General features: G+C 54.1%; 1 protein-coding gene and 2 pseudogenes across 3 annotated transcripts in view, besides 3 other annotated features; 1 reads left to right on the top strand and 2 right to left on the bottom strand.

Moving 5' to 3' along the window:
* The window catches only part of PI4KAP2 (phosphatidylinositol 4-kinase alpha pseudogene 2), a 44,494-nt pseudogene extending 41,707 nt beyond the window's left edge, over window positions 1-2,787 (top strand). Inside the window, 2 exon segments of the transcript NR_003700.1 lie at window positions 1,105-1,188; window positions 2,380-2,787. The product of NR_003700.1 is annotated as a phosphatidylinositol 4-kinase alpha pseudogene 2 (transcript).
* A 3,062-nt stretch (window positions 2,788-5,849) lies between these two features.
* Window positions 5,850-8,398, bottom strand: TMEM191C (transmembrane protein 191C). 2 transcript variants are annotated; one of them, NM_001388354.1, is made up of 10 exons: window positions 8,171-8,398; window positions 7,768-7,891; window positions 7,583-7,633; window positions 7,354-7,431; window positions 6,950-7,006; window positions 6,782-6,841; window positions 6,591-6,655; window positions 6,439-6,511; window positions 6,251-6,291; window positions 5,850-6,168 (listed from the first exon to the last, which is right to left on the bottom strand). In NM_001388354.1, exons 1-10 carry the CDS (start codon window positions 8,323-8,325, stop codon window positions 5,964-5,966), a joined length of 909 nt encoding a protein of 302 aa, NP_001375283.1. In that variant the 5' UTR covers window positions 8,326-8,398; the 3' UTR covers window positions 5,850-5,963. The 2 variants fall into 2 exon arrangements, with proteins under 2 accessions (NP_001375283.1, NP_001193981.2); NM_001207052.2 differs by lacking the exon at window positions 6,591-6,655 and having other exon boundaries at window positions 6,723-6,841.
* Window positions 6,181-6,743: an enhancer, noted in NCBI's record as "H3K4me1 hESC enhancer chr22:21823331-21823893 (GRCh37/hg19 assembly coordinates)". NCBI's record gives its function as "activates a minimal SCP1, AML or CMV promoter by ChIP-STARR-seq in primed H9 embryonic stem cells {active_cell/tissue: H9 hESC(primed)}" and the evidence as "EXISTENCE:reporter gene assay evidence [ECO:0000049][PMID:30033119]".
* Window positions 6,744-7,306: an enhancer, noted in NCBI's record as "H3K4me1 hESC enhancer chr22:21822768-21823330 (GRCh37/hg19 assembly coordinates)". NCBI's record gives its function as "activates a minimal SCP1, AML or CMV promoter by ChIP-STARR-seq in primed H9 embryonic stem cells {active_cell/tissue: H9 hESC(primed)}" and the evidence as "EXISTENCE:reporter gene assay evidence [ECO:0000049][PMID:30033119]".
* Window positions 7,075-7,124: an enhancer, noted in NCBI's record as "active region_18697". NCBI's record gives its function as "activates an Ori minimal core promoter by ATAC-STARR-seq in GM12878 lymphoblastoid cells {active_cell/tissue: GM12878}" and the evidence as "EXISTENCE:reporter gene assay evidence [ECO:0000049][PMID:35858748]".
* On the bottom strand, window positions 8,474-9,377 carry LOC124908410 (transmembrane protein 191A pseudogene; annotated as a pseudogene).

The following is a 20,659-nucleotide window of genomic DNA, read 5'->3' as shown; positions in this document are numbered from 1 at the left end:
CCCACGCCTTCAGCCATGGGCTCTCCCTTTCTGGGCATCCCATCCACCTTGTCACCAAAGCCTGAGCACCTGCCACCCCACAGGCTACGTGCCAAAGATGGGCTTTGTCCCAGTTTCATATACAGGTCACTTGGCCAAGGCCACAGTCCAACCTGGGTTCATCCCCACTGCCCCGCAGAGAAAGGCAGGTCAGCGTGTCTGCATCCCACCCAGGTGCAGAAGCCATGGCCGGCAGCCTTATGTGGGGGACAGGGCAGGACACTCAGCCTGTCCAGAGTGCGTATGGGCAGCCCTTGCCTGGGCAGTACGGGTGACCGAGTGCAGCAGATCGAAAGTTGCCTCGGGGATGTGCAAGATGTGGCAGGCGAGGTGGGTGGCAGGAGCCCACACCTGAGGCTGTTGGCATCAGCCAGTCCACAGGACTACAGGCAGGGCCACCACCTAGGCTGGCCTCAGCCCACCGCTCCCTCCTGTCTCTCCCCAGGCCCTACATGGATGTGGTCGTCTCCCTGGTCACTATCATGTTGGACACGGGCCTGCCCTGTTTTCGCGGCCAGACAATCAAGCTCTTGAAGTAGGTTCCTTGGTGGACACGCAGGCCATCTGGGGGACAGTTGTCCATTAGCTGAGGCTCCATCCAAGATAGGTATCTTTCGTGTAATTGTCACTGTGGTTGTCATCTCCTTGGAACCTCAGAGCAGACAGGGTTCCTAGGTGAGGCTCTACCCCTAGACCACAACTGTGAGGGGCCCCTGCTTGTGCCGGCCACACCAGAGACCCACCCAGGGGCCTCTATTTATGTCAAGGATGCTACGCCCAACCCACCTCCACCCTAAGGTCTGGGGCTGCAGTAGCTTAGCTCCCCAATGCTTAGTCCCCTAATACCATGGGACCACTCAGGTGATGCTGGGAAGGGGACAGGGCCCATGATAGGCCAGGCGTGGCCTTCACAGCACCCCATCTTCCAACATGTGGACCCCAAAGGTACATTTCCAGGGCATGGCTCTCAGCTGAAGTCCGTCCCCATGGAAGACCCTCCTCCCACTGGGCCAGGGAGCCAGCACGGCCCTGCCCATGGCAGCCCTGACACAGCCTCTCCTCCAGGCACAGGTTTAGCCCCAACATGACTGAGCGCGAGGCTGCAAATTTCATCATGAAGGTCATCCAGAGCTGCTTCCTCAGCAACAGGTGAGTGCCCCGCCCCCCTGCCTTCTCCCACTGCCTCGGTGGCCACTGGGCACCTGCAGGGCCTTGCCTGCACCAGGCGATGAGGATTCTGCTGTCCCCAAGCCGCCCCTCTCATGAAGACCCAAGTCTTGACAGGAACTCTTGAGGAGCAGTGGGGTGCTGGTTTAGGGGGCTGTGGTGTGCCGAGGGGAACACTTGGCAGAGGCCGGGCCCACCTGGGCAGGGCTCGTGAGGCCGAAGGAGCAATAGGGACACAAGGCCAGGAGTATTAGAACTGAGTGTGGTGTCAGGCCTCCCTCCTCCCAGGAGGGCTGAGGAGTCAGAGCCCACTCCTTCCCTGCGCCTGCCTCGGGCTGCTTCGTGGGCAGTGACTGGAGGTGCAGGCCGGGCTGCTGGTCACTACTGTGGTGGGAGGAGATGGGTGCAGGGGGCCCTGGGGAGGGCTGGCTCAGGGTCTGAAGGCAGAGCACCGGGCTGACAGGCTCCCTGCTGTGGGAGTCAGAGGTGGCTTTGAGGGGTCCGGCCTGAACAAAGGGAGGATGGCGATCCCAGCAAGTGAGCCATCCCCGAAGGGGGCAGCACTTAAACATGTGGGGTTGGTAAGGCCCTGAGGGGCATGTGGGAACCCAAGGCTGTGCCATGGGACAGACCACATCCAGACTAGGAGGAGGGGCCCAGGTGTGGCCATCTGCATGGGGAACTGCCGGAGGAGCGTGAGAGGAAGCTGAGACCTGCCCCCAGGTGGCGCCCGGGTCCGGCACCCTAACAAGGGCACTGTGGAGGCTGGGCACGGAAGGAGCTCTTGCTGATAGGAAGCAGAGAAGCCAGGCGGCCAGGACCTCAAGAGGGGCTGGGGCAGGGCGAGAAGGGGCTCTCCAGAGGTGCGAGGAGAGCGTACAGACCCCTTGGAGGCATCTGGCCAGGACGAGCCAAGGGGCCCGAGGCCCATGGGGCAGAGCAGTGGCTCCCACGGATGGAAGCGGTTTGGCTGAGGAGCATGAGGTGGCCTCAGAGTCCCCCGGGTTGGAGCAGATGTGGTCACTGGGTGGGGGAGGGCACGCCTGGGACATTTGTACCTTCAGGTGCTGGGCAGCCATAAGGGGCTGATTGGACAGGTAGGGCTCCCTGTGGGGAGGGACCCCAGACCCTGCTGGCTCCTCGAATCTCCCTTCACTCTTCTTGGCCTTTCAGGAGCCGGACCTACAACATGATCCAGTACTATCAGAATGACATCCCCTACTGAGGAGGGGACCTTCGAGGGCCTCTGCCCCATGTGCCCTTGAAGCTGCCCCACAATCATGGAGCCCTGCGACCTACCCGCCCTGCCGCCACATGCAGTGGAGGAGAGGCCTGTGGCCCGAAGAGCCTGGTAGCGCCTCCTGGGGCAGCACGTGGGTGGCGCAGGCTTAGTAACGCCGTGGACTGCAGCGACAATCAGTGGATGGTGCTGTCTATGCACAGGTGTGAGTCCTCTGTTTGCACTGGACATATTCCCTACCTGTTTTATTTCATAGGTACATGAAGTATTGTGTATAAAAAAAGAGATAAGATTTAACCAACATCAACAAAATAAAAACCCAAAATAGTGCTGTGTTGGAATCTGTGAGGTTTTGTGTCAAGTCCTAAGTCCACCTTCAGCCAAAGGGCAGTTCCTGGATTTGCCCCTAGAGAGGGGGGCCCAGTGTTGGCTGCACTCATAGGCTGGGGCCCAGGAGCACGGGTTGTGGCTTAACAAACATGAGATTCCCATAATCTCACCACGGCATAGGTGCACCAAAACACACATTGTGTTTGTCCTGACTGCTGTCTGCCCGCTCCAAAACTGTCTCCCTCAGGGCTGCCGTGGGGGCCTGTCTGTGGCTCTCCGCAGCATCTTCCCACTGCTCTAGTCTTTCCCTCTTGCTTGTTTTCAAGTGCTGTGCTCTGGAACTCCAAAATCTTTGTGTGACTAGACCCAGCAAGCATCTACTCCCACCCACCGAGGCCCTGCATCTGAAGCAGATAGGAATAAAGACCTGAAACAAAAGAGAAACTCCAAAAGATCAGCTAAACAGCAGCAGGTAAGAAGAGAAAATCAGTGATCAGAATAGTGAAATGACCAAACATGCAGTGTGAAGGAAAGGAAAGCCAAGCGGGGTGGCTCCTAATCCCAGCACTTCAGCAGGCCAAAGCAGGAGGATTGCTTGAGTCCAGGAGTTCAACACCAGCATAAGCAACACGGGAAGACCCTGTCTCTACAAAAAAATTTAAAATTAGCCACATGGTGGTGCATGCCTGTAGTCCCAGCTACTCAGGAGGGTAAGAAAGATAGGATCACTGGAGCCGAAGAGCAAGACTCCAGTGAGCTATGATGGTACCACTGCACTCCAGCCTGGGTAACAGGGTCAAAAAAAAAAAAAAAGTTGAATGAAAAGCTCCAGTCAACTTTTTCTTTTTTTTTTAGTCGGAGTCTCACTCTGTCGCCCAGGCTGGAGTGCAGTGGCGTGATCTCTGCTCACTGCAACCTGTCTCCCAGGTTCAAGCAAATCTCCTACCTCAGCCTCCTAAGTAGCTGGGATTTCAGCTGCACGCCACCACACCCAGCTAATTAATTTTTGTACTTTTAGAAGAGAAGGGGTTTCGTCATGTTGGCCAGGCTGATCTTGAACTCCTGGCTTCAGGTGATCTGCTCGCCTCGGCCTCCCAAAGTGCTGAGATTGGAGCCACCGTGCCCGGCCCCAATCAACTTCTAATGGGATTTCCAGAGTTGAAAAACACAAATATTCAGCTTTAGGAAGCACAGTTGAGTCCTGAGCAGTACAAATAAAAATATAGGCTGGGCACAGTGGCTCACATGTGTAATCCCAGCACTTTCGGAGGCTGAGGTGGGTGGATTGCTGGAGTCCAGCAGTTTGAAAACAGCCTGAGCAACATGGCAAGACCCCATCTCTACAAAAAATACAACAATTATCCGGGCATGGTGGCACAAGCCCGTAGTCCCAGCTACTCAGGAAGCTGAGGTGGATCGCTTGAGCCCGGGAGGTGGAGGTTGCAGTGAGCCAAGATCACACCATTGCACTCCACACTGGATGACAGAGTGAGACTGTCTTAATAAAAAATATGAGTCAGCGTATAAGTTAAAAGGAGTTTTAAAAGATACTAATCCAAAAGAAGGCAGAAAAGGAGAAACATAATAGACTTACCAGCCCAATTTAAAAGTCAGGGATTACAAACATGAATTGAAGAAGTGAGACCCAGTTATGTGCTGATTATAACCAAAGCACTTTACATATGAAGACAGATGTAAGATGAAAATAACAGATAGAAAAAAGACTGGCCATCCATAATCAAAATGTGTATGGGTGTTTATGAAGGGGCATTTCACAATAAGCAATTGACGGCGCTACCAACAAGAAAGTAAACACAGGAGCCCTGAACAAGCCTGTCACTCACCTGGACCTGCTGGGTATTTAGAACACACTCTGTTGGCCTGGCACGGTGGCTCATGCCTGTAATCCCAGCGCTTTGGGAGGCCAAGCCAGGCGGATCACAATGTCAAGAGATCAAGACCATCCTGGCCAACACGGTGAAACCCTGTCTCTGCTAAAAATACAAAAATTAGCTGGGCATGGTGGAATGCATCTGTAGTCCCAGCTACTCAGGAGGCTGAGGCAGGACAATCACTTGAACCTAGTAGGTGGAGGTTGGAGTGAGCCGAGATTGCACACCACTGTACTCCAGCCTGGCGACAGAGCGAGACTCCGTCTCAAAAAAAAAAATCACTCTGTCAACAGCAACAATACACTTCTCAGTGTTCATTACAAGCTTTGTGCTGGGCCACAAAACAAGTCTCAGTAAATGAGATAGAATTAAAATCATGCAGAGTGTATTCTCTGGCCACAGTGGAAATTAGGACTCAGTAAGATATCTGGAGAAAATGTTGGCCAGGCACGGTGGCTCATGCCTGTAATCCCAGCACTTTGGGGAGGCCAAGGTGGGCGGATCACGAGGTCAGGAGATCGAGACCATCCTGGCTAACACAGTGAAACTCTGTCTCTACAAAAAATACAAAAAATTAAACGGGCATGATGGCGGGCGTCTGAAGTCCCAGCTACTTGGGAGGCTGAGGCAGGAGAATCGCTGGAACCCGGGAGGCAGAGCTTGCAGTGAGCCGAGATCATGCCACTGCACTCCATCCTGGGCGCAGAGCAAGACTCCGTCTCCAAAGAAAAGAAAAAAAAAAGTAGCACATGTGATCAGAGGGAAAAGACCTAAGATGCTTTAAGGCGGTTTAGGGGAAGATGACAGCGATGAGCTGAGCTCAAGTAGTAAGAATACCAGAATACAGAGTGTGACTTCCCAAATAAACAGAAGGAAAGGGGAGCATTGAAAAATCAGGATCAACATGTTACAAATGGTAGAAATAAATTCAAATATAGTAGAAATAATTTCAAATCACAATACTTGAAAAGGCAGCTTGTCAGATTGGCAAAGTGTCAAATGCTATGTACAAGTTTCTGGCAATACGGCAAATTATGTATCCTGAAAAACTAAAAATGCTGTTTACAATACTGGGGAGTGGCTCTAAATCCATGAGCTGTAAGGAAGGAAGGAATCTTTGGAGGCTGAAAAGCCAGTCAAGCTCCTACATGACATGGGAGACAGACGACGAACCCACGAGCTTCATCCCTTGAGTTTATTAGGCAACCTTGGTCTACACTCTCAGGAGAGGAGTGCACCAGAAATAAAGCCAGGTGCCCTGGAGTCCACCTGGAGCCAGGCGCGGGGCGCTGCACTTAGGTTGGCAGAAGCCCGTTAGCGCGCAGCTCCAGCAGCGGGGACAGCGTGTAGCGCAGGCGGCGCAGCGTCGTCTCCGAGGTGAGGCTCCAGAGCCACGCGGAGACGGCGCCGGGGTCCAACAGCACCGTCCAGAGCAGCGACAGCCCCAGGAAGAGGAGCGGCAGCGTCAGCAGCACCTGCAGCGCGCCCAGCACGCACCGCCTGCGGGGCGAAAGGCGGGCAGGTGGGCGGCAACTCGGGCGGGCACCTGGGGGACCGCGGCCGCGCCCACCGCCCGGCTCACCTGATGGCCAGCGCGCGAGGGCCGCCGAACAGCCGCGTCTCCTGCGGGGAGAGAGGGCCGCATCCAGCTACCTCCGCGCCCGCGGCGCCGGCCCGGTTTCCAGGAGGAGGGGGAGGCGGTACCGCGGGGGGGACGGGGAGGGTTGTCCCGCTCCAGCCCACCCCGCCCGGACCCGCGCAGGCGCTCACTCGGTCCGCCCTGGCCATCTCCTCCATGAGCGATTCGGTGCTGTACTGCACTCCGCGAAGCTGCCCGTCACACCTGCGGGGACAGGCATGCAGGTGGGAGCCCATCCCGGCCCCACAGTGCCCCGCCGCGCCCGCAGGCCCAACTCCCTTACAGTTCCCGGCCACTCTGCCAGGCGTCCAGCTCCTCCGCAGCCTCCATCACCTTCACCTGCACCTCCTGGAGCGGGTGAGAGTGCGGACTGAGGCCTCGGGGAGGCGTCCTGGCGGTGGGTTGGGAGACTTACCGCCCCAGGTCTGGGGGAGGAGAGGCGGGAGGCACCTTGGCGTCTGAGTGGGGCCGCACCTGCAGGACTACGGTCTGCTCCTGGAATATGGCCCAGGCCTCCGCTGTCTGCAGCGCGTCCTGGGTGTGGACACCCGGGTTAGACTCGGCGGCGTCGGGGCGACAGGCCCTTCCCCATCCACACTCGAAAGCCTACCCTCCTCCAACAGAACCCGCTTCTGCCCTCACCTGCTGCAGCTTCTCCTCCTGCAAGGCGCATTTGGTCTCCGCCAGCTCCAGTTCATTCTTGAGAAGGACCCAGGGAATGTCAGGAGGTCCGCAGGCCGGCAACCCGCTGCGCCTCCGGGCCCCGCCCCCGGCCCTCAGTGCCCGCCCCCAGGCGATCATGACCCCGCCCGCGTCCTCAGGACCAGTCGTAAGCAACGCCCCAGCTGGTCATGGCCACGCCCCCTCCGCGCTCCGCCCCTATTCTAGCCCTCAGAGCCCCGCCCCCATGCGATTGTGCTCCGCCCACATTCCCCGCCCCGCCCACGCCTTCAGGGCCTGCCTTAAGCCACACCCCCAGGTGGTCACGGCCCAGCTCATGCTGCTGCTCCGCCCCTACTAAACACCTCAGGGTCCCGCTCAAGCACCTGCAGCGTCACCAATTGGGCTGCGAGTTGCTGCTCCGTGCTCTTCTGGCTCTGCAGTTCCCCTCCGTAGTAGAAGAGCTAGGGGCGGGGCTTGTAAGGGCGGGGTTTACCGGGCTTCTGGAGGAACGGGTGTCAGGGGAGACAGGGACGGGGAGGCAACAAGGGCGAGGACAAGGGCAGGACTTCCGAGAGGAACCAAGAGACAGGCCCTCCCATCTCCTGCACGTACCTGACTCGACAGCTCCTCCCACTGCTCCTGCAGCTGCCTGCTGTGCTGCTCCTGCGGACGGGGTCCTGGGGCGGTGCCGACCTCTCCGCCGGTCCTACCTCACCCCACCCCCGGATCCTGCCCCCTTCCGCCCGCCCTGCCCCACCCCACCCTGGGTCCAGCCCCATTCCAGGACTCTTCCTCACCAAGTACTCCTTGTGGCGCTCCGCCTCCTCCAGTCTTCTGCGCACCCGCTCCGCGCGCTCCCGCGCCGCCTCGCGCGCCTCCCCTTGCAGAGGCTGCGCTGCCTGGCTTCGCCTCCGCAGCAGGCTGCAGAGGGAAACTGAGGTTGGCGCTACAAGGCGGACTGGGTCGCTCAGGATCCCGCAGTCGCCAGGAAGGACCAGCCGCAGGCTCATGATTGAGGACTGGGAAGTCCTGGCCGAGTCCCCCACCTGGGTCCGCTGGGTGGATCACCCGTTCCCAAGGGCCTAGAGCAGAGATGCGGGCCTGGGCGGATCAGCCTGGTACTCTGCGAAGCACCTCGCGGCGCTGCCTGCGGGACCGACCCTCGCGCGCCCGCCAGGTAGAGGGGCGTTCCCCGCGCACCTCCGCTCCCGCTCGCTCAGGTCCTGCAGGCGCTGGTTGAGGCTCTCGCTCTCGGCCTCGAGCCCGCGCATCAGCTTCTCTAGCTCCTGCTTCCGCTGGCGACCATCTCGGTTATCCTTCTGCAACTGCAGCAGCAGCTCCTGCGTCGCGGCCATGGCTGTGGAGACCGAGCCTAAATGCCGCCCGCCTCGGGGACCCAGCCTGCGGCTGGCAGGCGTCACAATGGGCGGCAGGGAGCGCCTAGCGGGCTGGATCACAATGGGCGGCAGGGGAAGCCCGAGCGTAGCCCGACACATGCCCCTTCTCACGCCGGCCGGAGGCGGGTCAGGCCGGATCACACTTAGTCCATCACTGATGAAAATTGTGTCAAAGAGCCGTAATTGGATCAATGAAAGGTTAATAAAATACTAATACCAAATGCAGGCAAGTTGAAGATTGGTTCCCCCACACTGCAGATGGCACTTGCAAACTGATCGATCTCTTGTGGAAAAGAACCCATAAATATGTTCGTAGCTTTTGACCCAATTATCCTTCTCCTGGGAAATTTATCCCAGAAAGGAGAAAAAATAATTTAAACCCACTACACACTAAATGGTTCGCTGAAGTGGTTACAGTAGCCACAAAAAAAGGAAACAATTTTAATGATTAAAATGTGCTTGGGTATTATGTGGTATGCCTAGAGCTATGATGATGTCTAGTGAAAAAGAATTTGATTTAGCATTTATGCTAAAGTAACTAAGATAAAATACATGAGCAAGATCCGTAAAGGAAACAGGAGGAAGATAAGCTCTTTCATTGCTTGGTGAGACTGTAGGTAAACTCGTCCTTTTAAGTATTATTATTTTAGAGGCAGGTCCTGCTGTCACCAGGCTGGAGTACAGTGGAACAATCGAAGCTAGCTGCAGCTTCAATCTCCCAGGCTCAAGTGATCCTTCCGCCTTAGCCTCCCAACTTGTCCTTTTAAAATCTGCCTTTATTTGTCCAGTTACAATTATGAACTTGGATGCAAAAATCCAAAATACATTACTAACAAAATCTAAAGGGAAACAGAAATCCATGGAAACCAAACAGAGTTTATTCCAGAGATTGTTCAACATCAGAAAATCAGTGTTGTTCACCATATGGACAAACAGGGAAGAACTCCACGATCTCAATGGCGCACTTCAATAGATGCAGAAAACATGAAGATGAGGGTCACCATCTATTAATAATTTTTTTTTTTTCTGAGACAGAGTCTCATTCTGTTGCCCAGGCTGGAGTGCAGTGGCACAATCTTGGCTCACTGCAACCTCCGCCTACTGGGTTCAAGCAATTCTCTGCCCCAGCCTCCAGAGTAGCTGGCATTACAGGCACTCGCCACCACGCCCAGCTAATTTTTTTGTATTTTTAGTAGAGACAGGGTTTCACCATCTTGGCCAAGCTGGTCTTCAACTCCTGACCTCGTGATCCACCCACCTCGGCCTCCCAAAGTGCTGGGATTACAGGCCTGAGCCACCTCACCTGACCATCTATTGATAATTCTAAAAGCTCTAACAAAAGGGAGAGATAAAAGCACTCTCTAGTCTGATAAAGGCCACAGTAAACATTATAGTAAGGAGGAAGTATTAATAGTATATGCTTTTTTTTGCTTTTTTTTTTTTTTTTAGAGTCAGGGTCCTGCTGTCACCCTGGCTGGAGTGCAGTGGTACGATCAAAGCTAACTGCAGCCGCACACTTCAGGGCTCAAGTGATCCTCCCGCCTCTCACCCTTTAAGAAGTAGTAGACGGCCGGGCACGGTGGCTCACGCCTGTAATCCCAGCACTTTGGGAGGCCGAGGAGGGTGGATCATGAGATCAGGAGTTCAAGACCAGCTTGGCCAAGATGGTGAAATCTTGTCTTTACTAAAAATACAAAAAAAAAAGTTAGCCGGGTATGGTGGTGCTTGCCTGTAGTCCCACCTACTCGGGAGGCTGAGGCAGGGGAATCGAACCCGAGAGGCAGAGGTTACAGTGAGCCGAGATTGCACCACTGCACTCCAGCCTGGTGACAGAGGGAGGCTCCATCTCAAAAAAAAAAAAAATGTAGTAGTAAAGGCCAAGCACAGTGGTTCACACCTGTAATCCCAGCACTTTGGGAGGCCAAGGTGGGTGGATCACCTGAGGTCTGGAGTTTGAGACCAGCCTGGCCAACATGGTAAAACCCCACCTCTACTAAAAATACAAAAAATTAGCTGGGCATGGTGGCCTATAATCCCAGCTACTCAGGAGGCTGAGGCAGGAGAATCGCATAAAACCAGGAGGCGGAGGTTGCAGTGAGCCGAGATCGTGCCACCGCACTCCAGCCTGGGCAACAGTGTGAGCCTCCATCTTAAAAAAAAAAAAAAAAATAGTAAGAGGCTGGCCACGGTGGCTCATGCCTGTAATCCCAGCACTTTGGGAGGCAAAGGAGGGCAGATCACGAGGTCAGGAGATCAAGACCATCCTGGCCAACATGGTGAAACCCCATTTCTACTAAAAATACAAAATTAGCTGGGCATGGTCGCGAGTGCCTGTAATCCCAGCTACCCGGGAGGCTGAGGCAGGAGAATGGCGTGAACCCGGGAGGCGGAGGTTGCAGTGAGCCAAGATCACGCCACTGCACTCTAGCCTGGGCGACAGAGCGAGAGTCTGTCTCAAAAAAAAAAAAAAAAAAAATTTTTTTTGTAGGGACAGAGTCTCACTTTGTTGCCCTGGATGGTCTCAAAATTCTAGCTACAAGTGATCCTCCTGCACTGGCCTCTTAAAGTTCGTAATGCTTTGCTCTTTTAAGTTTGTCTCTTTGTGAACATGTAAGAAACTACGGGGCCGGGCGCGGTGGCTCACGCCTGCAATCCCGGCACTTTGGAAGGCCAAGATGGACGATCTCCTGATCGAGGCCATCCTGGCTAACACGGTGAAACCCCGTCTCTACTAAAAATACAAAAAATTAGCCGGGCGTGGTGGCGGGTGCCTATAGTCCCAGCTACTCGGGAGGCTGAGGCTGGATAATGGCATAAACCCGGGAGGCGGAGCTTGCAGTGAGCGGAGCTTGCGCCACTGCACTCCAGCCTGGGTGACAGAGCAAGATCCATCTCAAAAAAAAAGAAAAAATTTAAAATGAGCTGGGTGTGCTGGTGTGCACCTGTAGTCCCGGTTACTCAGAAGGCTGAGCTGGGAGGATCTCTTGGGCTTGGGAGTTTAAGGCTGCAGTGAGCTATAATCATGCCACCACACTCCAGCCTGGGCAACAGTGAGACCCCCAACTCAATCAACCAATCAAAAATGTCTTCAGATCGGGCGCGGTGGCTCACACCTGTAATCCCAGCACTTTGGGAGGCTGAGGCAGGTGGATCACTTGAGGTCAGGAGTTCAAGATGAGCCTGGCCAACATGGTGAAACCCTGCCTCTACTAACAACAACAACAAAAAAAAAAATTAGGTTGGGCGTGGTGGTTCAAGTGATTCTCCTGCCTCAGCCTCTCAAGTAGCTGGACTACAGACGCCCACCACCACGTCTGGCTAATCCTTGTATTTTCAGTAGAGATAGGGTTTCATTATGTTGGTCAGGCTGGTCTCGAACTCCTGACCTCGAATGATCCACCTGCCTCAGCCTCCCAAAGTTACTGGGATTACAGGCGTGAGCCACCACACCTGGCCAATATTTTTTAATTTTAATTTTTTGTTAGAGAGAAAGGATCTTGCTCTGTCACCCAGGCTGAACTTCAGTGGCTTGATCCTAGCTCACTGCGGTCTTGAAATCCTGGGCTCAAGGAATCCTCCCACCTCAGCACCCCCAGTAGCTGGGACTACAGCATGGCTGATTATTTTTTTGTAGAAATGAAGTCTCACTATGTTGACCAGGCTGGTCTCAAACTCCTGGGCTCAAGTGATCCACTCACCTTGGCCTCCCAAAATGCTGGGATTACAGGCATGAACCACCCCCGCTGGTCTTTTTTTTTTTTTTTTTTTTTGAGATCGAGTCTCACTCTGTTGCCCGGGCTGGGGAGCAGTAGCGCCATCCCAGCTCACTGCAGCCTCGACCTCCTGTGCTAAAGTGATCCTCCTGCCTTGACCTCCCAAAGCACTGGGACTACAGGTGTTAACATTTATTTTTAATTTTTTTATTTTTGAGACAGAGTTTCACTCTTGTGGCCCAAGCTGGAGTGCAATGGTATGATCTCAGCTCACCGCAACCTCCGCCTCCAGGGTTCAAGCAATTCTCCTGCCTCAGTCTCCCGAGTAGTTGGGATTACAGGCACTCGCCACCATGCCCAGCTAATTTTTTGTATTTTTAGTAGAAACGGGGTTTCACCATGTTGGCCAGGCTGGTCTCGAACTTCTGACCTCAGGTGATCCGCCCGCCTCAGCCTCCCAGAGTGCTGGGATTACAGGCGTGAGCCACCACGGCTGGCCAGGCATTAACATTTATATAAACTAAATACACAGGGTGAGTACAGACGGTTGGTAGGACAAGGAGGAGGATGGGATCAGAAAGGAGGCGGCGAGAGCACCCACCAGGGATGAGGACAAGGGACATGAATGCTGTGCACCAGGAGGGGACATTCTGCAGATGAAAACTCTGCAGGTCAGAAGGAGAGTTTAGGACGCCTGCTACAACCAAGCACTGGGTCCCCTTTCACTAATGTTGAGAAATGCAAGCAAGACTGAAGGTATTTTGGTTACTTATAGTGGACTCAAAACGACCACAGATTGTCTACAGTTCTCACCACCAGTAGGTGGAGCCTGTTTCCCCAGCTCAGGAATCTAGGCTCACCCTTGGGTCTTGCTCTGACAAACAAGATGATGCAGAAAAGACTTTGTGGGCCTCCAGAGCGTGGACCTCAGAGCCTTTATAGCCCCTCTCACCCCCTTATTTTTTTTTTTTTTCTGAGACAGAGTCTTGCTTGGTTGCCCAGGCCAGAGTGCAATAGCACGATCATGGCTCACTGCGGCCTTAACCTCCTGAGACCAAGCCGTCCCCGTACCTCGGCCTCCCGAGTAGCTGGGACTGGCAGCAGCACCAACCAGCAGGCATGCCGGCAAACCCCCAGCCCCCAGCCAGCCCTGGGATGACTGCAGCTTGGCCAGAGCACCCAGGCAAGGTCTGCAGAACCTTTTGAGCACAAGGCCTGTTATGCAGCAAAGAATTACTGGACGTTTGTATTATTCGCAAAGGATTACTAGTGACTAAATTGTACTCCTATGAATGTGACACTATGCAGCAACCAGGTGACTGGGGTGGGGTGGCTTTACATGAGCTATTCTTGCCATCTCATGTTATAATTGGTCCCCTAGTGGTCAAAGTTGAGGTGGGGGAGAGGTGGGGCGGGGACAGAACACAGGGAGAGGAGCTGCTGCATTTCAGCCCCCACCTCACTGTGCACACGACTTCTGTGAGCGTGTTCAGTCCTTACAACCTAAAGGAGCTGGCACTGAAGGCTTCCATTTACATAGAGGAGGGACACGAGGGTGCATGTGTCCTGAAGCTCCACCACCACCCTTGGATTCACACCCGAAGGTTAGAAAGGTGCTATCTGCCAGTGCTGGGCCTGGGGAAAGCCATTTAGGATCTGCTGCTTCTCTTTCAGATAAACTTTAGAACTGTCTTGTCAAATTCTCCCAAATACATTGTTGGGATTTGATAGGAGTTGCAAAAACAAAGCCTGTATGTGAAGCGTATATATTAAAAGGGAAGAATGGGCTGGGCACAGTGGCTCACACCTGTAATCCCAGCACTTTGGGAGGCCAAGGTGGGAGGACCACTTGATCCTAGGACTTCCAGACCAGCCAGGGCAACATAGCAAGACCCCTTTTTAAAAATAAAATATTAAAATAAAAATTTTAAAGGGAAGAATGGACACTCTCCATCATCAGGTATTGGTCCCAGGAACAGAGCATTCCCGTCCAATCCCACAAGTCTTGCCTCAGGCCTCCTACAAATGTGCTATTTCCAAATGGGCTTTTGGCACATTTATCAAGGCTATGCCTATGTCACTTGTTTCCCGTTACTATTATGAAAAGGCCTTTCTGAAAATTTCATTTGGAGGCCAGGCATGCTGGCTCATACCTGTAATCCCAGCACTTTGGGAGGTTGAGGTGAGTGCATCTCTTGAGCTCAGGAGTTCAAGACCAGTCTGGGCAACATGGCATAACCTCATCTCTATCAAAAATACAAAAATTAGCTGGGTGTGGTGGTGTGCGCCTGTGGTCCCAGCTACTCAGGAGGCTGAGGTGGAGGATTGCGGGAGCCCGGGAAGCAGAGGCAGTGAGCCAAGAGCTACACTCCAGCCTGGGTGACAGAGCAACTGTCTAAAAGAAAAAAGGAGAAAATTGCATTTGGGATATACATATTACAGGTTAAATTGGGTCCCCCCGAATTCATATTGGAGTCCTAATTTTCAATACCTCAGAATGTGGCCTTAACTTGAAAACAGGGTCACTGCAGGTGTGATTAAGATGGGGTCTCAGCCGGGCGCGGTGGCTCATGCCTGTAATCCCAGCACTTTGGGAGGCCGAGGAGGGTGGATCACAAGGTCAGGAGATCAAGACCATCCTGGCTAACACAGTGAAACCCCGTCTCCACTAACAATACAAAAAATTAGCCGGGTGCAGTGGCGAGCGCCTGTAGTCCCAGCTCCTTGGGAGGTTGAGGCAGGGGAATGGCGTGAACCCAGGAGGCGGAGCTTGCAGTGAGCCAAGATCGTGCCACTGCACTCCCTCCTGGGCCACAGAGCAAGACTCTGTCTCAAAAAAAAAAAAAAAAAAAAAGATGGGGTCTCATTGGAGCAGGGTGGGACCCCATCCAATATGACTGATGTCCTTATGAAGTAGGAACTTGGCCACAGACGACACGCACACAGGCCCTCGAGGAAAGCGCCATGTGAAGGATGGAGTTCCGCTCCAGAAGCCAAGGAGTCACCAGGGGCTACGCAAGGGGCCAGACTCAGAGCCTCGCCGAGAGCCTGCAGGCGAGCATGGTGTCCACTGCCTCCACTGTGAGATGTGAACACCTGTGCTGCAGTGGCCGCAGGGAGCCAGTCCCGAGGGTCACACCGTGATGTCTGTCTGCAAGGGCCCAGCTGCTCTTACTGAGGCCTTTCCAGCGCAGCCGCCTCTCCACATTAGAGAGGATCAGCCTGGGCACATGGCTTGTGGTAGAAGGCCCTGATCACACCACAAACGCAGAGAGCGGCTTGTGATGCTCAGGTTTTCATGGCCACGTGGCTTCAGCCTCAGCAAGGAGGGCACCGGGCCCACGTCCGAGGGTTTACCTGGGGATGATCACAGTGAGGTGGGTGGCTCAACAGGACCTCACGGCGCTGGCCTGGGAGTGGTGGGCTCTGCAGGCCAGAGCTGTCTAGACGGGCAGTTTGCCTCTGGAGTCTTACATGTTCACTTCTTCCATAGCTCCGGCTCGTATCCTCTTCTCCCATGGTCTTGGAGCGTCCCCACCATATCCTGTTGGGGAAGCATCATGACCCTTTTCTTTTTGAGACAGGGTCTGGCTCTGTCACCCAGGCTGGAGTGCGGTCACACAATCATAGCTCACTGCAGCCTCCACCACCTGGACTCAAGCGATCCTCCTACTTCAGCCTCCCACATAGCTGGGACTACAGGTGTAGCCACACCCGCTAATTTTTTTTTTTTCTTTTTGGATAATCTTACTCTGTTGCCCAGGCTGGAGTGCAGTGGCACGATCTTGGCTCACTGCAACTTCTGCCTTCCGGTTCAAGCAATTCTCATGCCTCAGCCCCCAAAGCAGCTGGGATTACAGGCACATGCCACCATACCCAGCTAATTTTTTTTGAGACGGAGTTTCGCTCTTGTTGCCCAGGCTGGAGTGCAATGGCGTGATCTCGGTTCACTGCAACCTCTACCTCCTGGGTTCAAGCAATTCTCCTGTCTCAGCCTCCCGAGTACCCAGTATTACAGGCACCCGCCACCACCCAGCTAATTTTTGTATTTTTTAGTAGAGATAGGGTTTCACCATGTTGGCCAGGCTGGTCTTGAACTCTTGACCTCAGGTAATCCACCCGCCTTGGCCTCCCAAAGTGCTGGGATTACAGGCGTGAGCCACTGCACCTGGCCAATTTTTTTTTTTTTTTTTTTTGTATTTTTAGTAGAGACGAGGATTCGCCATGTTGCCCAGGCTGGCCTTGAACTCCTGAGCTCAGGCAATCCACCTGCCTCCCAGAGTGCTAGGATTACAGGCGTGAGCCACAGTGCCCAGCCTCAATCACACCCAGCTAATTAAAAAAAAATATTTAGGCCGGCGCGGTGGCTCACGCCTGTAATCCCAGCACTTTGAAAGGCCAAGGCGGGCGGATCACGGGGTCAGTAGATCGAGACCAAAACTTTTAGTAGAGACATGGTTGCACTGTGTTGCCTAGGCTGGTCTCAGACTCCAGGGCTCAAGCAATTCACCTGTCTCAGCCTCCCAGAGTGCTGGGATTACAGGTGTGAGCCACTGTGCCTGGCTGTAAGAAACTATCTGATGAAAAGGACCAGGTGGCTTTAAGCAATGGTAACAAAATATTAACTTAAATAATAAAATCTGGGCCAGGTGTGGTGACTCACCCCTGAAATCCCCACATTTTGGGAGGCTGAGGCAGGCAGATCGCTTGAGCCCAGGAGTTTCAGACCAGCCTGAGCAACATGGCAAAACTTCATCTCTACAAAAAATCAAAAAATAAAAAAATAAAAAGCTGGGCATGGTGTGTGTGCCTGTAGTCCCAGCTACTAGGGAGGCTAAAGTGGGAGGATTACTTAGCCCAGGAAGTCAAGGCTGCAGTGAGCCGTGAACATACCACTGTACTCTAGCCTGGGTGATAGAGTGAGACCCTGTCTCAAAAATAAAAATAAAAATAAAATCTGGTTGGGCATGGTTGTTCACAACTGTAATCCCAACACTTTGGGAGTCTGAGGTGGGAGGACTGCTTGAACCCAAGAGTTCAAGACCAGCCTAGGCAATATAGTGAGACCTCTACAAAAAAAAAAAAAAAAAAATTAAATTAGCCAGGTGTGGTGCGGCATTCCTGTAGTCCCAGCTACTCAAGAGGTTGAGGCAGGAAGACTGCTTGAGCCCAGGAGTGTGAGGCTGAAGTGAGCCGTGATCGTGCCACTGCACTCCAGCCTGGGCAATGAATCATGACCGTGTCTTAAAAAGAAATAGGGGCTGGATGCGGTGGCTCACTCCTGTAATCCCAGCACTTTGGGAGGCCGAGGTGGGTGGATCCCGAGGTCAGGAGTTCAAGACCAGCCTGGCCAACACAGTGAAACCCTGTCTCTATTAAAAATACAAAAATTAGCCAGGCGTGGTGGTGGGCGCCTATAGTCCCAGCTACTTGGGAGGCCGAGGCAGGAGAATCGCTTGAACCCAGGAGGCAGAGGTTGTAGTGAGCCGGGATCGTGCCACTGCACTCCAGCCTGGGTGATAGAGGGAGACTCCGTCTCAAAAAAAACAAACAAACAAACAAAAAAAAAACACCAGGTGCGGTGGCTCACGCCTGTAATCCCAACACTTTGGGAGGCTGAGGCAGGTGGATCACGAGGTCAGGAGATCGAGACCATCCTGGCTAACACGGTGAAACCCCGTCTCTACTAAAACTACAAAAAAAAGTAGCCGGGCGTGGTGGTGGGCGCCTGTAGTCCCAGCTACTCGGGAGGCTGAGGCAGGAGAATGGCGTGAACGCGGGGGGTGGAGCTTGCAGTGAGCCGAGATCGCACCACTGCACTCCAGCCTGGGAGACAGAGCAAGACTCCATCTCAAAAAAAAAAGAAACAGTAAAAAAAAATAATAATAAAATCCAAAATCCTTGCCTAGGGCAGTCAAAGTCCTCCAGCCTTCGGGCCCTGCCAGCCTCACGGACCTCAGCCATTTTTCCACTACAGCCAGAATGAACTGTGTTTTATTTACGCACTTATTGATTTTTGTTTTAGCATTATTGGGGGTCAGCTGTCCCTGACTTGCCCACTTGCCACACTCAGCCAAGTGACCCTTGCGCTCCTGGACACTGTCCCCTCTGGCCTCGCAGCCATTCCTCTTCAACGCGGCACCCCCACGGCTCCCTGGGTGAGTCCTGCTCTTCTCCCACTCTTCCGTGTAGGCGTAGAAACCCTGATGCTCTCCTTACCTCCCCTCCGCCTCACACCCTTCCTCCAGCCTGTCCCCAAGCCCTCGAGCTCTTCCATTGCAAACTGCTGGCCCATCTGCACCTTACTTCCTCAGGAGATGCTGTCCACCTCAGCCTGATTGCCACACAGAGTAAACGAGCTGATGTTTACAAAGTGTCAGTGACTCACAAGTGCTCACTAAACAGCTTTAAATAAAATGTGAACCTCCAAGTTCTGACCCCTGCTTACCACCTTCAACACTATGGCTCTGGACTGCACCATTCCGAGAGCTCCTAAGGAGCCTGGCTGCCCCCACCTTGTCTTCCTCCAGCAGCCAGTAGGGCCTCTCAGACCTTCAGAGAGCACAAGTCCAAACCCCAACATGGCTCCTAGGCCCGGCGCCGCCAGGACCGCTCCTGCCGCTGTGCAGTCTGCTGCTACAGGCCTCTGTGCCTGCTCATTCCTCTGCCTAGCCCCTCCCTCACTTCCTATGGCCTCACCCTAATGCCATTTCTTGGGAAGCCTTCCCAGGCCACTCATCCCCAATTGCAACAGTGTCCCCACAGCACTCAGCACTACCAAGGATGCTTTCCTTTATTTATTTATTTTTTTGAGATAGGGTCTCACTCTGTCATCCAGGTTGGAGTGCAGTAGCATAATCCTAGCTTACTGCAGCCTCCACCTCCCAGGCTCAAGCAATCCTCCCACTTCAGCCTCCCCAGGTAGCTGGGACCACAGGCTGAGCCTCCGAGGCTGGCCTGTCTTCCCCAAGCATTCTAGGATCCAAGAGCTCACGGACCACATCTTGTGCACCTTTCCCTCCATTGACAAACCCAGGGCTTGGAAAACCACACACACTCAAATGCTCTGACACCTGAATGGAGAGCCAGCCCGTCTGCACCTCAGAGACATGGCATCTGTCCAAGGCAAAGGCCGCTGCCAGTTGGGGCTGGGATTCAAATGCTCTGGGCTCCTTTCAGCTGACCTGGAGGTGCGGCCTGCTGATCGAGAAGCACGGGATGGCCTGATTTCACAGCAGGGACCCTGCAGGAGGCAACTCATTGTTACCTTGGCCAGAAAGAGGAGCTGAACATGAATAGGCAAAAATTCCAAATCCCAAAATCGCTGGGGACTGAGTTTTTTTGTTTTTTTGTTTTTTTTTTTGACATGGAGTCTTGCCATGTCGCCCAGGGCGGAGTGCAGTGGCGCAATCTCAGCTCACTGCAACTTCTGCCACCTGGGTTCAAGCAATTCTCCTGCCTCAGCCTCCCAAGTAGCTGGGATTACAGGTGCCTGACACCATGCCTGGCTAATTTTTTGTATTTTAAGTAGAGATGGGGTTTCGCCATGTTGGCCAGGCTGGTCTTGAACTCCTGACCTCAAGTGATCTGCCCAACTCGGCCTCCCAAAGTGCTGGGATTACAGATATGAGCCACTGCACCTGGCCATGGGGGCCGACATTTTCTTAAATCCACTGGTCAGCGGCATTAGGGGAGGCCACCTGGCTCAGAAAGTGTCTGGGCACAGGGACAGGTGAGCGCTCCTCAGCCATCTGCCCAGGGCACGGTTCTTGGTAGCACCAGGCGCACTGAGAAAGACACCTGGGCCCTGCTGGTGGCCCAGCCTCTTACACTGCCACCAAGGCCCTCCAGCCTCCCGTCTGGTCTCCACAGCACAGAGGCTAGCCTTTGCGTGGGAAAGGACGCAGCCTGGCACTGCAGGGAGAGGCCTCGGCTGCTGCACCCCTGGCCAGTTCTGGCCTCCTAGGGAGCCTGCAGCCCTGCCTGCCTTTCCCAACCCTGGTCCCCATGTGGCCCCTTGATGACTTCTTCCTTCAGCATGGGGTCTGTGCAGCTTCCTGCTCTGTGGGGGGCTTCCTGCCACCTCCCCGTTGGCTCTTTCCGCCCCAGCCTGGAGCAGTGGAAAGGGTAAGTCCGGCCTGTGCCGCGTGGGTGGACAGATGAATGCGGCCCAGGCCAGGGGGCTGCAAGACCAAGTCCCAGCCACCCAAGCCTAGGGCTTACACGTGTCCACACACTCTTACGCGATTGTGGAAAGGTGATCAGTATGGATGCTGCACACTACCTTACAGCACGGTGGAGGCAGGGGCAGCATCCTGCCACTGGCAAAAGTAACATTTTACAGCACAACACCAGGGACCTTTAATGACACAGTCTGATTTTACCCAGGTCATTTCGAGAAAAAGCCTTTCACAAGCTTCCTTCTACATTTGCTGTGCAACTTAGTGAATGTCCTTTACAAAGTCCTATTGGAGGCTGGGCACGGTGGCTCACGCCTGTAATCTCAGCACTTTCAGAAGCTGAGGTCGGCAAATCCTGAAGTCAGGAGTTCGAGACCAGCCTGGCCAATGTGGTGAAAC

Source organism: Homo sapiens, chromosome 22, assembly GCF_000001405.40.
Source record: "Homo sapiens chromosome 22, GRCh38.p14 Primary Assembly".
Taxonomy (NCBI): Eukaryota; Metazoa; Chordata; class Mammalia; order Primates; family Hominidae; genus Homo; species Homo sapiens.
Note: the sequence above shows the minus strand (reverse complement) of the source record. Positions and strands in the feature narration are given on the sequence as shown.

What these genes read in the sequence shown, in the direction of transcription:
- TMEM191C (NM_001388354.1), bottom strand. Translation starts at nt 8,325, where the DNA reads ATGGCCGCGACGCAGGAGCTGCTGCTGCAGTTGCAGAAGGATAACCGA. An exon ending in GGGAGGAGCTGTCGAGTCAG is followed by an intron (nt 7,432 to 7,582) that starts GTACGTGCAGGA and finishes CCCCGCCCCTAG; the next exon opens with CTCTTCTACTACGGAGGGGA. An exon ending in TGGCAGAGTGGCCGGGAACT is followed by an intron (nt 6,512 to 6,590) that starts GTAAGGGAGTTG and finishes CTGTCCCCGCAG; the next exon opens with GTGTGACGGGCAGCTTCGCG.